Raw genomic sequence first — 16890 nt, 5'->3', positions numbered from 1 at the left:
GGGTACTGTTCCCAGTAGCAAGGATGCCCACCCACCAGTTATCCTGAGGAACAACAGCTGCCCACGTTCTCAGGTTAGTGTGGGCCAGGGCAGGAGCCAGCATGCCTTCCAGAATCATAGGCAATTTTGCTGACCTCAGTGTATCCGTCAGCATCTTGAGAACTGGCCACTCAACAGCTCACACCCAGCTTCCCGAAGCACAGTCTGGTAAAGGTTTATAGAGGAGAAAACCTTTTCATCCTCCTTGCACTGATTTGCATCATTCTCTTCTCATCATTGTGGCAGCAGGCATCCCATAAAAAGCAACAGGGCACCATGAGGAATGATTGGAAGAGCGATGGGGAACAAGCTCTTTTGCCTCTATTTGAGATGTCAGGCCTGGGATGGAGGTAAGTCGTGTTGTGGGCTCCTGGCAGTTTGTAACATAGGGTGCCCACCCGTGCATTGGAAAGTTCCAAGAAGTGTCCCTGCCATCTTGCAACCAAGGATGTTTTCTAAGTCTGCATGTGCCCCCTCCAACATCCAGAACACAGAGAGTTCCCAGATCAAATTATTAAGGCCTGCACTGAACAGAGCCAGTGTAGCCTGAGTCAGCCGGAGGGTCTGATCCACTCTTTGGCAACTCATCCCCACCACCATGGCCACTACACACCTCCACCAACCCAGAAACTCCAGGTCCTCTGATTTCTGAGCCTGGGTCAGGAGAAGCTGCCCTGCCCAGGCACCAACGGAACGCACGCCTCCATGAAACTTGAAGACAGACTGCAGAGAAGCATCATGAATTTTTCACAAGATTCATCTAATTGTGGCTGAGCAGAGCTGAGAAAGCCACAGTCCGAGGACCCATGCCAGCAGCTCACAAAGAGTTAACCCATTAGGCCATTGCCTGGTGAGCTCATCCATCCCTGCTGGAGCCTGCTCAGTTGCTGGGATTCACAACACACTGACTTCTGGACGTGGTCAGGGTGGCTTTCTCTGGCTGGCATGGACTTGAGCAGAAACTCATTGCCGGCTTCCTCCTTGCACGAGCACCAAGTGATTCCCAGGTCCCCCATCCTCCCCTGGGACATCGAGGACAGTAAGTAAGGAGGGAATGTTTCCTTCTGCCCTTCCTTCCATCTCGCTGAAGGAAGGAGCAGATTTTAACTTTGCTTTGGAGCGTGTTGTCTTTAAACTGGGGTTGGAAGGCAAGCATGAACAACAAGCGGAGAAAAGGGGGCTATGCCCTGGGAGGGGGTGAAGTCAGCCTGGAGGCACTGCCTGCTGAGGGTCTTGGCAGACAGTGGTGGCCAGAGGAAGGGGGGCCGCCCCTTGCTGTGTACTGGGAAGAAGGGAATTTGTGGGCAGAGAGCTGCTTCAGTCCTGCGTCTATAGCATCCAGCCTTCACTCTTAGCAGCCATTGTGGGAAGGGCTGGGCAGGGACTCTCCTCCCAAATCTAAGTGGAAGAAGCAAAAAAGCCAGACAGGAAAGTGCAAGGCCACCCCCAGACCCCAGAGTACATGGGTGGAATCTCGGACCCCAGCCGTCCTCCTGAGCACCCTGTGTCAGACCTCTGCAGCTGCCAATGTCTTCCTCCTGCAGCTGTGGCAGGTGTCTGGGGCAGGTGCCAGAAAAACAAGGTGGAGTGCGTTGGCTGCCTCGGGAGTTTTATCTCAGACAGGGGGAACAAGGCAGGCACATGCAAACACGGACAAAGACGTGGCTCAGTCAGGCAACTGTGTGCCGTGAGAACCCTGCATCCGGGTAAAGCCAGCCGTGGTCACACACGCAATCGCCCGAGCTATTTTTCTACCCTGTCACTGGCCAGGGTCTGGGCACCAGCCGGGTGGCCCAACAAGGGAGGTGGGTGGCACCCTCTAGGTTGACTGTGACCTTTGGGAAACTTCCCTTCCTAGAAGCGCTATGAGCAGGTGACAGATGGGTGGCCATGGCCATGGTGACAGCAGCGGCTTACTCAGAAACCCTCTAGCTTCTATTAGCCCAGACACTTGGCCCCCACTCACCTTATCAGAGGGGTGGACAGTCACCAACTGAATGTCCTGGTGAGGGGAAGACAGCACCGCCAGAGAAGATAAGGGACCGTGGGGATGACCACTGGCAAGCTGGAGCTGGGTGGGGCCTTAATGGGGACTCCGTGAGGGAAACAGGAGGACCCTCCACTTCTTACCACTCTGGGTCTTCCACAGGAATAATACATGGTGTTATTCCCACCACTTCCATCCTGCCTTCCCCGCTTCTCCCCCAGACTCCCCTCGCTGGGCCCAGCCTCCCAGCAGTGAGGTAATGTGTGCCTCTCTCCTCTGCTTTCAGCTCTTGCAACTTCCAGAACAGCCCAGGTGCTATCAGAGCTCTCTAGATGGTGGGGCCTGAGGGGCAGAAGCTCAGGAAGGGCCAGATAACTCCAGGCCCAAGCACAGCAGCACAGCGGGATCTCTTACAATATTAGGGGTGCCAGATGTATTGCGAGATGCCCAGTTCAATTTGAATTTGTCAAACAACAAATACATTTTTTGCATGCGTTGGTCCCATGCAATACTGGAACATTCTTACATGAAAAAAACTATCCGTTGTTGATCTGAGGCTGAACTGTAACTGGACACCTTGTAGTTTTATTCTCTAAATCTGACAACCCTCTTAATACCAACTGTATTTCAGCACGTTCGAAGGAGGACAGCACCAGGAAAAGGCTGGGGAGTGAGTTCAGAGGTGGAGATGTACAGGTGTAGGGTGGTAGAATGCAAGGAAGGCGGTGAAGAAAACAAGAAGAAAAAAAGGCAGGGCCCTCTCCTTGAGAAAGCATAAATAAAAGAGCAGGATTGGCCGGGTGCAGTAGCTCACGCCTGTAATCCTAGCACTTTGGGAAGCTGAGGGAGGTGGATCACCTGAGGTCAGGAGTTCGAGGCCAGCCTGGCCAACATGGCAAAATCCCGTCTCTACTAAAAATTCAAAAATTAGGCAGGCGTGGTGGCATGCACCTGTAATCCCAGCTACTCAGGAGGCTGAGGCAGGAGAATAGCTTGAACCTGGGAGGTGGAGGTTGCAGTGAGCTAAGATCACACCACTTCACTCTAGCCTGGGCAAAAGAGCGAAACTCCATCTCAAAAAAAAAAAAAAAAATCAGGATTTGGAGGCTGGCAGCTCTGAGCCTGTGCTCCTAGCTGCAAAATGGGAATGATAATAGTATTACCCTCCTAAAGCAGAGGATTAAAAGAGACTCCCCAGGCGAAGAAAGTGGCACATGCCAGGCATCTTACGTTGGATTTGTGGCATGGTGACAGTGGTGACTTTAAGGCCACTGTGCCACAGGCCCCTTGCTGGCCTCTTGCTGCTTGCTGGCCCCAGCTCGGGGACCCCGGCGTCCTTGGCAGCTCTAACCAACAGTCCTAGGCCTATCTCCTCAGCCAAGGCTGCAGTTCTGTTCACTATGTCCCACTTTGGGCATCCTCCCCACTTGCTTTTCCCATAATTTGAAAATAAACGTTAAAACCGCCCCAAGGAGGGGCGGAATAGACTTGAACACAGAGTCTGGGCCAGGCTGGCTGCAAAACTCACATTCCAATCCAGATGCTCTCCTCATCTGTGAGTCATCTTGGGCAAGTCACTTATACCTTTCTGATCCTCAGTTTCCTCACCTGCAAAGTGGGGCAAGAATATAGCTTCCCCATAGGAGTGACTGGGTGGGAGGATGAAATGAGGCAATGCAGACAAAGCATTTAGCGTGGCTCCCACCACACACTAAGCATTTGATAAATGGTAGTTTTTATTATTGTATAAAAAGCACCTGCCCTCCCCAGCCGCATGGCTTCTTTGGCTTTGGAGAAGCAGCTGAGGTACATTGGAGATTTTTGTAGGAACTTCGGCCAGCAGAAGGAAGCCTGCCTTGGCGAGGTGAGCGGTCACTTAGGCCAAAGAATGGAGGCAGGGAGGAGTTGGTCAGTGTGTCCTGCCTTTGCCCCTTCACAGCTGCCTCCATGCCACCTTGTGAGCTACTTCCATCCTAACACCTGGCTGTAATATCAAAGGGAGATTTTTACAACCACCGGGTGGGAAGGAACAGGACCAGTGACTTGGTAAAGCGGTGCTAGTCAGGTTCTAACCTTCTGTAGTTAAAAAAAAAAAAAAAACAAACAACGCTGGGCGCAGTGGCTCACGTCTGTAATCCCAGCACTTTGGGAGGCCAAGGCAGGCAGATCATGAGGTCAGGAGATTGAGACCATCCTGGCTAACACGGTGAAGCCCCATCTCTACTAAAAATAGAAAAAATTAGCCAGGCATGGTGGCGGTGCCTGTAGTCCCAGCTACTCGGGAGGCTGAGGCAGGAGAATGGCGTGAACCCGGGAGGCAGAGGTTGCTGTGAGCTGAGATCTCGCCATTGCTCTCCAGCCTGGGCAACAGAGCAAAACTCTGTCTCAAAAAAAGAAAAAGAAAAAGAAATGCACAGATCTAACAGCACCATATTGACAAATGGGTCCCTCATGCAAACCCCACCAATGTCACTGCATAGAACATGTCCATCGACCCTGGGAAATTTCCTCGTGTATATTCCAGTTGGTTCCTCCTCAAGCCCCACAACAATTTTCTGAGCTTTGCCACCTTAATTAGTTCTTAGCTGGCTTCAGAATGCCAGGTAGATGGAAACATGCCATATAGGTACTCTTTCATATCCGATCTCTTCCACCCAGCATGTCTGTGTGGCTCATCCATGCTGTTGTGCGCTTCAGAAGTTAGCTCCTTTCTACTGCTTAGTAACATTCCATTGTGTGATTATACAACCATTTATCCTTTCTTCTGTTGAGGGACATTTGGGTTGTTTTCTTTTTCTTTTTCTTTTTTTTCTTTTTTATTTTTGCTATTATGAATAAAGCTTTTATGACTATTCTTAAAGAAGTCTTTTTGCAGACATGCCTTTTCATTTCTCTGGGACAAATAAACATTTGGAAGTGGAACTGCTGGGTCAAAGGGTAGATGTATATTTAACTTTGTAAAAAACAACCGATTTTACATTCCCACCAGCTCGGGTTGTTCCACGTTCACACCAACCTACGGTATTGTGAGATTTTCCCATTTTATCTATTGTAGTGCATGTGTGGTGATGTCTCGTTGTGGCTTTAATTTGTATTTTCCTGTTAAACATCAATGTCAAGCACTTTTTCCTGGGTTCCTTGTTCACTTGTTATATGTAATGTTTATTTAAACATTTGGCCCATTTTAACTGGGCTCTTTGTCTATTAATCATATGTAGCATTGACAGATACTTTTTTTTTTTTGAGATGGAATCTCGCCCCATTGCCCAGGCTGGAGTGCAGTGGCGAGATCTCGGCTCACTGCAACTTCCATCTGCCAGTTTCAAGTGATTCTCATGCCTCAGCCTCCCGAGTTGCTGGGATTATAGGCGTGCACCACCACACCCAGCTGATTTTTTGTATTTTTAGCAGAGACAGAGTTTCACCATGTTGGCCAGGCTGGTCTCGAACTCCTGACCTCAAGTGATCTGCTGCCTCGGCCTTTCAAAGTGCTAGGATTAGATTGCAGGTATGAACGACTGTGCACAGCCCAGATACATATTTTGTAAATATTTTGTCACAGTTCAGAGTTTGCCTATTCATTTCCTTCATGGTGTCATCTAATGAGCAGGCATTTTAAATTTTGATGATATCTATTTTATTGATTTTTTTTTCTGTCTCTATCTTGTCTACAAAATCTATGCCTGTCCCCAGGTCACAAAGATTTTTCTCCTGTGGTTTCCCCAAAAATCTTTATAGTTTTACCTTTTACATTTAGGTTAGACCCAGGATCCAGCTCTAGTTTTTGTTGATGACGTCAAGTGGGATCAAGTTTCATTCTTTTTTCCATGTGAATATCCAGTTGTTCCAGCACCATTTGTTGAAATGACTTTCCTTTCCACGTTGAATTGCTTTGATGCATTTGTTGAAAGTCAATTGTCCTCTGTGTTTTTTCCACCCTCTTCCCTTCCCTTTTCTTGTCTGGCATCCCTGTCCCTACCACATATCCATGTAAGAGGTGAATAAGTTATTTCTTTAAACCAGGAAGTGGGCCCCAAGTTATACAGTCAGGGATCATCACTCCGGGGTTCTGGGCCTGTCAGGTGGATCCCCAGACCCCCTCTCATCCTCTTAGCACTAAGGGTCTATGCAGTTGATTTGACCTTAGAGGTCAGCAACTACCTAGGGAAAACCAGTGCTGTTTGGGGGATGGAAGGTCACAGAGCTCTAGGGATAAATCTGCTTATGGAAAAGGGAAAGGAATCATGGTTCACACTGAGGCTGAGACGTATCCAAGTCCATGTTCAAACTTCCCTAATTATCCCCAGTGCCTTTGTACAATTGGCTTGTTCTAATCAGAATCCAAAGGAAGGAACGTATTGCATTTAGTTATATCTTTTAATTGTCTTTGTTTAAGCATTTTATTGACATAGATTGCACACACACAAAAACGGTCACAACTCAAGTGTACTGTGCCAGTAGTACACACCCTTGTAGCCAGCTGCTAGGTCAGGAATCAGAACATAGCCAGGTGTGGTGGCTCACGCCTGTAATCCCAGCATTTTGGGAGGCTGAGGTGGGCGGATCACGTGAGGTTGGGAGTTCGAGACCAGCCTGACCAACATAGAGAAACCCCATCTCTACTAAAAAATACAAAATTAGCTGGGTATGGTGGCACATGCCTGTAATCCCAGCTACTTGGGAGGCTGAGGCAGGAGAATCACTTGAACCCAGGAGGCGGCGGTTGCGGTGAGCCGAGATCGTGCCATTGCACTCCAGCCTGGGCAACAAGAGCAAAACTCCGACTCAAAAAAAAAAAGAATCAGAACGTTGCCAGCACCTCAAAAGTCCCCATTTCAGTCACTACCCCCACCAAAGGCAGCCACTATCCTAAGCTCTCATAGCATAGACTGTTTTACACATATTTGAATTTTACGGAAATGAGATCACATCGCATGCATTCTTTCTCTGTCTGGCTTCTCGTTGCTGTATAGTCCCAGACTGGCACTGTTTCTTGGTGCCAGCCTGCAGCCTGCTCAGCTTGGTTGTGTACTGTAATTAAGTCCCCACCCACTAACTCAGCCTTCTGAAGCTCCAAACTGGCCTCCAGGGGAGAAGGACCCATCCGCCCTTCTCCAGTTGCTGCCCTGCAGGCGAGCTGACATTCAAATCTGAGGTGAGTCCAGGAGGCCCTGCAACTCCAGGCTTCTCCTGCTCCTCCATAGGCCCATCCTCTCTGGGGCCTCAGTCCTTGCCCAGTCTGGGGCATCAGGACCTTAAAGGAAACTGAGTATACTTATTTTTTAGGGCTGCCATGACAAATTGCCACAGACTTGGTGACTTGAAACAACAGAAATTGAAGGTCTCACATTCTTAGAGGCCAGAAGTCTAAAATTAAGGTGTTAGTGGGGTTGGGTCTTTCCAGAGGCTCAGAGGGAGAATTCACTCCTTGCCTCTCTCCCAGCCTCGAGCAACCCTTGGCATGCCTTGGTTTGTAGAAACATTCCTTCCATCTCTCCTCTGCACATAGCCTTCCCCTCTGTGTGTCAAATTCCCTTCTCCCTTCTCTTAGAAGGAAGATGCCAATCATTGGATTTAGAACCCACTCTCACTCAGGATGTTTTAATCTCAAGATCCTTATCTTGATTGTATCTGCAGTGACCCTTATTCCAAATAAGGTCACATTCTGAGGTTCTGGGTAGACATATCTTTTGGGGGCCACAATTCAACTCCCTACAGTGAGTGAAGGATCTCCTGAATCACACAAACCAAACTACCAGTAACTTAATTGAAGCGGAAAAGGGTGGTTCTCACTGGACCAGCCCCCTGAGTGTTACCTTGTCCCCGACAGAGCTGCAGCATCTGGGCCACATCCTCTGAGCAACTGCCAAGTGCCAGGCTGTGAGCCAGGTGCCATGGGGTAGAAGATGAGGAAGCCCAGCCTCTATCCTGAATTTTCAAGCTAGGCAGGAGGAAAGGCTGGCCAGAGCAGCCTTTGATCCACCACATTGATCTTGCCTACCCCAGGGGACCTTTGCAATGTCTGGAGATATATTTTATTGTGATGATAACAACAGGGAGGAAGAGGTACTGTTGGCATCTAGTGGGTAGAGACCAGGAATGTTGCTAACTATCCTACAATACAAACATCCTACAATCCTATAGTCTGCCACAGCAATCCATTTTCCAATCCACAATGCCAACAGTGCCATTGTTAAAAAGCCCTGGTATACAGAAAAAATGGAATCTTATTGGGGCTTTAATAAAATGTTATAAAACTCCTACAGCCCATGAATTGGTGATTTTCTGAAAACCTCAATTTTCAGATTTCAAGCTGATTCATTACCTATAGACTTATCTGAAATAGCTAAGAAAACTCCTTCATTTTATAAATGGAAAAACAGAGACCCAGAAAGAAAATAATTGCAATGGCAACCAAGGCCATTTCCTGAACACGTAGAATGTGTCAGACAATATAGCAGTGTTATTTGAAATTTGACTGTACCGCAACCCTATGAGGTAGACACTCCATTATCCCTGTTTTATATGGGGCTCGTAAGGCTCAGGGGCTGAAGTAACCTGACCGAGGTCCCACAGCATGTAAGTGGCAAACTGTGTTCAAATTGTGGTCACTCTGATGCCAAAGACCTGGGTCTTTCCATCACAAGCAGCTTCTGCAAGTAAGTTTAGTGACTTGCTGGAACTGTGAATAAGTAGGCTTAATTCTTCCCAGTACAGAGTTCCACTCACAGCCCTGCCCTGCCTGCCTGCTTCTGTTTATAGATGCTCCTTGCCTTTTGCCTGGTCACAGTTACAGAGAGTAGCGTGGGAGGGAGAGGAGGGTAGGCATTCCCTCTGCTCAGGGGAAGAGAACTGCTTCTCTTTCAGTCATTGCCTAGAAGTGCCTCCCTGCCCATTCACTCTCCCAAAGACACATCCTCCCTCCCAACAAATGAATAGTTGCTTTTCTTTGGGATTTCATGGACCATTGCAGATAGATGATGATGATAGATAGATAGATAGATAGATAGATAGATAGATAGATAGATAGACAGACAGACATCTACATAGTGGACAATTTTTTTCTGAGCAGTTACTAACAAAACCAATGATCCTCTTCCATCATAATTATTTCATAAAATGAAGACTATTCTAATGCCAAGGAAGGACTCCACTCCATTACATTATGATCTCAGAATAAAAAATAGTCCTTCGAACTGAATAAATGTAACATTATGAAAAACTTACAACAGAATTCTTCTTTCTCACGTCACGTAGTGGGTCAATGTTAGGGGATTATGAATCTAAGTCATTCTGTATTCATTGAGAGATTATTTTACTACAGGATGGAGCCACAAAGTGATAATCTCAAGATTCTTGTAGTTGAGGAACCTTTGGGACCCATCCAGACTAGCTGCTGTGCAGTGCAAGGAGCTTTGAGGCCGAAGACCTTGGCCTGATGTGGGGGTTGGTATAGTTCGCCAAGCTCCTAAACCCCACTGGGCCTCAGTCTCTGCCCCTAGAAAATGAGACTGAACTAGCGACCGCGTTGCAGAGCCAGAAAGAAGGTCTTAGTTACTTCCAGCAAGGCCCATTTTCCTCTCTCAGAATCTACAGTCCAATGTCCCTGCAGTGGCCCCAGCCTCCAGTTCAACACTTCCTGTTCCTGAGCCCCCTCACTCCCAGATGGCAGCTCCCAGGAGCAAGCCCTTCCCCTGCCCAGCCCCAGCTATCTTCTCTGGCACCACTGAGAATCACTGCATTTAATTCCTTCATCACAACCTTTCCAGCCTCAGGAAACAGCCATCATATCGCCCCATGTCTTCACGGAAACGGGATCGAAATGACTACTGAGAAAAATAAATTCTGCTGAAGATGATCAAACATCCTCATATGAGACCAGGTTGCAGTAAGCAGCACAAGGTCTCCTAACAGCTTTATGAACCCATCCCTACCCCCAAGCCCACAGGGGGAAAAAAATCACCTTTTAAATGGCTACTTTGCTTATGCAAATATACCACAGGCTCCAAAGGGAAGCACACACTGGGTGCCTACAGTTACAAAAGCACCTTGTAATATTTTCAGAGTCTTAGGAAGCAGAGATCCAAACTGTAACATTACCAAGGCCAAATTCCGAAGGCCTTGGTTACAACTCCTATTTCCCCCTGTTAATGGTGAGGGATCTGTAACTGCTTGTTCTAGAGAATGGAATCATTATTCTTGGGGTCAGGGAAGACACTAGTTCAGAAAAGTTCAGGCCTGAGCAGTGAGGGTTGGAATGAACAGGTTGGAGGGACTCCGCTGAAATTGACGTCGTCGGAAGGATTGAAGGAGAACGCATTCAGTAAAGGACTCCTCTCTGTGTAACATGTGTCTGGAGCTGGTGGCTCCCAAGCCCTGATACATGTTACATTTATCTGCAACCTGCCCCTTCCTCTTGACCAAGGTTTCATGGTGACCAGGATGAATAGCCCACCTTCCCCAATACAATTTTTTTGCTATGGAAAGAAATCTCCCACATCCCACTCATAAATAGAGATATTTGTAAATGCTGACATGAGTGGGGCGTTGAGTAGCCCAACAGGAAACAGAAGAAGAAGCCAGAGGAGGAATCGCAGGATTCTTGGCCAGGAAAGAGGGTAGAAGCCAAGGTCCAGAGGCCAAGGTCTCCTTCTTCATCTGAAGAGGCAGAAAGAGCAGAAGCCTCGGAGAGCTGCTTAAGGAAAGTCATCCCAAGCAGGCAAGGGACCCTCAGAGAACAGCCAGAGAGCTTGAGGACTCGGGGTACAGGAGGAGAGAGCCTGTGGGCTCTGTCCCAGAGAGCAGCAACCGCCTGAGCTTACTGCAGGGGAGGCACCAGGCTCCTGCTAGAAGATAAATAAGTGTGTAAGTGGTTTCTATATAAGTGGAGCAGGTCCTGTGTTTGTCCTTAGCAACCAGTGGAAGGAAGAGGAAGGGAAAGAAGGGAGAGAGAGTTGTTCATTTACTTACTCATTCAATTAAAGATGTGTAAAATCTCTTGGGTACAAAGCAATGTACAGACACCTTGGAGACATTTGAAAGATGAATCAGGGCAGTAACTTTGTGAAACCTCCAGGCAGGGAACCTGGGCTCTCTCAAACAGAACCTATCCTCAGGAAAGTACCTAATATCAGTCATTTACATCTTATTATCTTGTTGTAAATATATAGACCTTTGCCTTGAACCCACATTTCTGATTATGAAATGAAAGGCTTTAATCTAGGCTGGGTGCGGTGGCTCACACCTGTAATCCCAGCACTTTGGGAGGCTAAGGAGGGTGGATCACCTGAGGTCAGGAGTTCAAGACCAGCCTGACCAACATGGTGAAACCCTGTCCCTACTAAAAATACAAAAATTAGCTGCGTGTGGTGGTGGGCACCTGTAATTCCAACTACTCAGGAGGCTGAGGCAGGAGAGTGGCTTGAACCTGGGAGGCGGAGGTTGCAGTGAGCCAAGATCGCACCACTGCACTCCAGCCTGGGCAACAAGAGCAAAACTCCACTTCAAAAAAAAAAAAAAAAAAAAAAAAAAGAAAAGAAAAAGAAAGAAAAGAAAGAAATGCTTTAATCGGACATGAAAAGAATTTGAGAAAGCACTGGTCTGGTGAAGTATTTGGCGGGCAAGCAGTGCTTCTCTGCAGCCCAGCCCTGAAATTGCTCCACATGGGTGACCATCTACCTCCCCTGAGTCAGGGTCAGTGATGAGGGAGCCCCAGTGGCTGAGAGCTATGCAGATGGGCTCTCGATTAGACCCTGGGGTGGGCAATTGAGTGAGACTCCATACCTTTCCAGGCCTGAGAATAGGAAGCTGGAAATTGGCCTTGATGTAATTAACATGGAGGGTAGGGAAGGGTGGCGTTTAGATCTTAGAAGGTTGCACTGTGGGGGCCAGGCACAGTGGCTCATGCTTGTAATCCCAGCACTTTGGGAGGCCAAGACAGGTAGATCACCTGAGGTCAGGAGTTCAAGACCAGCCTGACCAATATGGAGAAACCCCATCTCTACTAAAAATACAAAATTAACTGGGTGTGGTGGTGCATGCCTGTAATCCCCACTACTCAGGAGGCTGAGGCAGGAGGATCGTTTGAACCCGGGAGGCGGAGGGTGCGGTCAGCTGAGATCACGCCATTGCACTCCTGCCTGGGCAACAAGAGTGAAACTCCATCTCAAAAAAAAAAAGAAGGTTGCACTGTGAACCTGTGACATCACTGTCCTCTGCTGACAGAGCACGTGAAAGCCCAGGCTGCACGAAACGGTGTTCTCCAGACTACGCATAGCCTGGTAGGAGTGACAGGGTTCAAATCTGAGCTCAGGCTGTTCCTTATCGTGTGATCTTCAAGAAGTTGCTTCACCTCTCTGAAGCTTCACTATCTCATCAGTAAAACAGGACTAATGCCTAATTCACAGGTTTATTGTCAGGTTTCAATTTAACAAAGGAAGTGTTTGATGCAGTGTCTGGCACAGGACACACATGCAGAATTTATCTGTAAAGCATCACTCTTCTAATAGACAAACGATATCATTTATGGAGTATTTGCCATATGCTAGGCATTATTTCAATGCATTACATCCCTTAACTCACACCGTTTTGAAAATTCTATGAAAGAAGTAACATTATCCTCATCTTATAGATAAGAAAACTGAGACAAAGAGAGGTTGAGTAATTCCATCAAGATCAGACAACTAGAAAGTGGTTGGGTCTGAAAATAAAATGCCATTCAACAAAATATAGCTGGCCGGGTGCGGTGGCTCATGCCTGTAATCCCAGCACTTTGGGAGGCCGAGGCAGGTGGATAACTTGAGGTCAGGAGTTCGAGACCAGCCTGGCCAACATGGTGGAAACCCGTCTCTACTAAGAATACACAAATTAGCCAGGCTTCATGGCAGGTGCCTGGAATCACAGCTACTCAGGAGGCTGAGGCAGGAGAATCACTTGAACCCGGGAGGTGGAGGTTGCAGTGAGCTGAGGTCACGGCCACTGCACTCCAGCCTGGGTGACAAAGGGAGACTCCATCTAAAAAAAAAAACAAGCAAACAAACAAAAAACTATAACTTGTTTGTTTCTAAAATGGCATCACTGTTCCTTGTTTTAAATATTAAAAGCTATTGAATAAAATGTTATAATATTTATCTCTTGCAAGAAAAAAAAATTATACCAGCTTGGGTGGTTTCTTATTTATGTGAATTTCATTTCATTTTCTTTTTTGGCTTCAGCACAAAAACCTTGTTCACCCTCCACTGAGAGCGGGGCTAGAGATGGATGCTGAGTACAGGAAGGGTGTGTGAGGATTCCTTTGGCTCCACTCTTGTTTCCAACTATTGCTGGTCCTAGGCGCCCAGTCCTGAGCAACCATGACGATGGAGACTCTCCCCAAGGTTCTAGAGGTCGATGAGAAGTCTCCAGAAGCCAAGGACCTGCTGCCCAGCCAGACCGCCAGCTCCCTGTGCATCAGCTCCAGGAGCGAGTCTGTCTGGACCACCACCCCCAGGAGTAACTGGGAAATCTACCGCAAGCCCATCGTTATCATGTCAGTGGGCGGTGCCATCCTGCTTTTCGGCGTGGTCATCACCTGCTTGGCCTACACCTTGAAGCTGAGTGACAAGAGTCTCTCCATCCTCAAAATGGTAGGGCCTGGCTTCCTGTCCCTGGGACTCATGATGCTGGTGTGCGGGCTGGTGTGGGTGCCCATCATCAAAAAGAAACAGAAGCACAGACAGAAGTCGAATTTCTTACGCAGCCTCAAGTCCTTCTTCCTGACTCGCTGATGGTGGTTTCCGCATCTCCCTGCCACCTTGACTGGGAGAAGATCTGATGACCAACATCCGACATCCCTGTCTCCTCTGTGGGGTGCCATAAAACTGATCCAGGAAAATGCTCTTCCTGACCCTGTGGGGAAGATAGAGCTTGGGGCTCCACCCTCCATGCAGCCGGGAATGTTGCCAGATGTATCCACTTGATCTCTATTCTGACTGATGCTTCCTTGGATCCCGGCTGTGGCCTTCCCTTTGGTCACTCTAACCCCCTGCCCCTGCATCCAGGCATCATTCATCCAACTCTCTCTGCCAAGTGCAATGCATGCTGGGAAATTCTTCGAAGGTGGGCTATGCCCAAGGGAGAACCTCATGTTTACATATCTGAGTGCCAGAGCTGGATTCTTCATTTGCATACTTCTGGAACCAAAACTGACCCACGGAGGTCCTTTACAGAGGAGGGAGGGATGGCTGAGCTCTGACCCATTGGGTTTGACAGCCCTAGCTCCCTTAGCAGACTTTCAAGATCACAAGTATCAAACATTCCAAAGACTGAACAATGAAGGGAGGCCTGGGAAAAATACTCTCCAAGATGGCACGTGCCCCTGGACATGACAACATGACTCTAGGGGTTAGTCAGCTGAAGAAGTTTAGTTCCTAATTATATAATATTTACATCAGAGGCAGTGGGGTAGGCTAGGGGATGTCACTGTTTCCGCTTGACCTTATCTTTCTCATTGACCACTGTCTTCTCTGAACTTGATCATTAGCCAAGGACAAAATGCATGTTGCCCTAATTTCTTTCCTACCCCTGCCTCTATCTCTGCATCTAGAACAGCTAAATGGAAAGATACAGAGGGATCCTGTAAGGTTGTTTTCCCTTTCACGTCCATCAAGATCAAAATTGAGAGAATCAAGTTCCATATCTGAATGATCTGTAGGTTTCTAGAGATGGAATTCACGTCAGAAAATTCCAACTTCTGTTATCCCTGCCCCCACCCACCAAAAAAGCCAACATTTATTAAGTGTCGCATTCTGGGATAAGCCCTGGCTGGGGGCAAGACACGGTCCCTGATGTCTTCTTGCTTCCCGAGGTGAGAGAGGCAGCCAAGCCAACTGGCGAAATGTGGGTGGGTGTGGGAACACAGGCGGTGTCTACCCTAGACTTGATAGAGGACGGAGAAATTCCTGGAGGCCATGTCCTCCAACCCAAAAACAAAAGGAAAGATAAGAGTTACCAAAGAGGGGAAAGAATGGCATTGGAAGCAGCAGGAGCTGCTATGCGTGTGCAGGAGTAGCTTGGGGAAGGAGAAGCATGATGGAATTAGGAAACTGCACGGCCATTTGTCTGACCTCCCAGATGTTTTTACTTCATCCCTCTCTTTCCCGGCTTCCCACCTCTTCACCAAGTGCCTAGCGCAGCTTCTCCTGGAGGCACATTGAGGGCCTCCTGGTGTCTATGGTAGAGACGGGAAGTGGGTTTCCAGAGGGCCTGGCAAGCAAAGAGTCCCTGAGAAGTGCTTCTGTAACTCCCTGTGGCAACCAAGAGGCCCGTAGGTGAAAGAACAGAAGCAGTACCTGTGAGGGAGCCAGCCACGCTGCCCTAGGCCAAAGACCCCTGGAGAGCATTTGGTAATGAGGTGTGAGAGGAGAGCATCCTGCACCAGAATCACCCTTGTCTTGAGCTAATTCTCTTCACTCCTCAGCCTTGTGGCCTTCCCAGTCACCATGGCCCTCCAGATATCCCCATCCTGCATGGCAGTTCCATATGCAGAGCCAGAATCCATCCTTGTTCCTTCTGCATTGTGAGAAAATCCATGGAGGAAAGCACTTGTGTCATGGGGACCACCCCTACCTGACCCACCCACGGAGTCAGAGTTTGGGGAACTCATGGCCGTTGAGGCTCACCCAGGATGGCCATAGCCTTCATGGAGACCCATGCCAGTGTGGCCATGTCTCTAGCTCACCTCTAGCCCTGCACACAGGTGGTCAGGACCAATCTTGGGAGTGTTGCAAGTGCTATGTCGTTAATTGTAGTTTTAGTGCCTCAGTGACAAACCTTGCAGATCATTTCCCTTCTTCTGAGATGAATGCAGATTTGATGGCCCTATAATATTACTCTTGCATTCCTCGATGCATTCTTAAATGGGAGCAAATGGGATGGGCCCCAGATCACTCACTGGAAACCCACACTCCAGGTGCCTCATTTCCTCTGCCCAGGAGATTGTAGCCTGGGCACAGCTATATGAGGAGGGCCCATTTGGATACTGCTATCATGGATGTCTTAGTGGAAGGAAGTTTAGGGATAACCACAACTCTAGAAGTCCAGGTTCTGGACTCACTTTGCAGACTCTAGCAGTACCTGCCTCCATTCCCTGCCCACTCAAGCTAGTTTCTCAGCAAAGAGAATATGAGGAAATATCCCCAAACATCGTCATCCCCACTGGGATCCTCCACATGAGTGTGGGCTGGAAAGGTTCCAGGGTCACACTGAGGCAGGACATTTTTTGCCAATGCCTGTTACCCCATGGAAGGCTGAGGTACGGATGCACCTGATCTGGAAATGCAGCCCAGGTCAGACTCCACATTTCTGCAACAAAGCATCACCTGCAATGACTCTTTTCACGTCAGTGGGTCAAAGGACAGAACCAGCTTCCGTGTTTTAGGCTCACTAGATTGTCTCATGCTCCCCATGGCTATTCTGTTTGGGAGAATTTGATCTAACCCGAAGCCTAAAGGAATCAATGTAATGTTGAATTGTATTCTATGTAACACTGTCTGCTGTGTTTTCATTCTTCTCTTCAGGAATTTCAAGACCATGTCCACCAATTAATTCATCTAAAATGCACCCCACCCTCCATTGCCACACATCCTTCTCCCCAGATTGCTGCCTGGGAGAAAATGGACAGGATGGATTTTGTGCATGGTTCCTCAGGCATCTTGTAGGAGCTGATGACCCTACTCTGAGATGCTGATGGGGCAGAGACCAGCAGCTTCCAACTCTTTCCATCCTCACAAGCCAAGTATTGAGACCAAAAAAAGAGATATCGAGAAAGAACCATCCAGAATGAATCAGTGTTTTGGGGCAAGGCAGGCAGCTGCTCCAGGGTCAGC

The 16890-nt window shown here is 48.1% G+C and overlaps 1 protein-coding gene across 1 annotated transcript, besides 1 other annotated feature; it reads left to right on the top strand.

The window, feature by feature from the left end:
- Positions 936 to 16553, top strand: PIRT (phosphoinositide interacting regulator of transient receptor potential channels). Its single transcript, NM_001101387.2, has 2 exons — positions 936 to 1078; positions 13240 to 16553. Exon 2 carries the CDS (start codon positions 13378 to 13380, stop codon positions 13789 to 13791), a length of 414 nt encoding a protein of 137 aa, NP_001094857.1. The 5' UTR covers positions 936 to 1078; positions 13240 to 13377; the 3' UTR covers positions 13792 to 16553.
- Positions 1624 to 2125: an enhancer, noted in NCBI's record as "H3K4me1 hESC enhancer chr17:10740215-10740716 (GRCh37/hg19 assembly coordinates)". NCBI's record gives its function as "activates a minimal SCP1, AML or CMV promoter by ChIP-STARR-seq in naive H9 embryonic stem cells {active_cell/tissue: H9 hESC(naive)}" and the evidence as "EXISTENCE:reporter gene assay evidence [ECO:0000049][PMID:30033119]".
- Positions 16554 to 16890: the final 337 nt, after the last annotated feature.

This window comes from Homo sapiens, chromosome 17 (genome assembly GCF_000001405.40).
Source record: "Homo sapiens chromosome 17, GRCh38.p14 Primary Assembly".
NCBI lineage: Eukaryota > Metazoa > Chordata > Mammalia > Primates > Hominidae > Homo > Homo sapiens.
The sequence above is the reverse complement of the archived record's forward strand: the minus strand, read 5'-3'. Positions and strand labels throughout refer to the sequence as shown.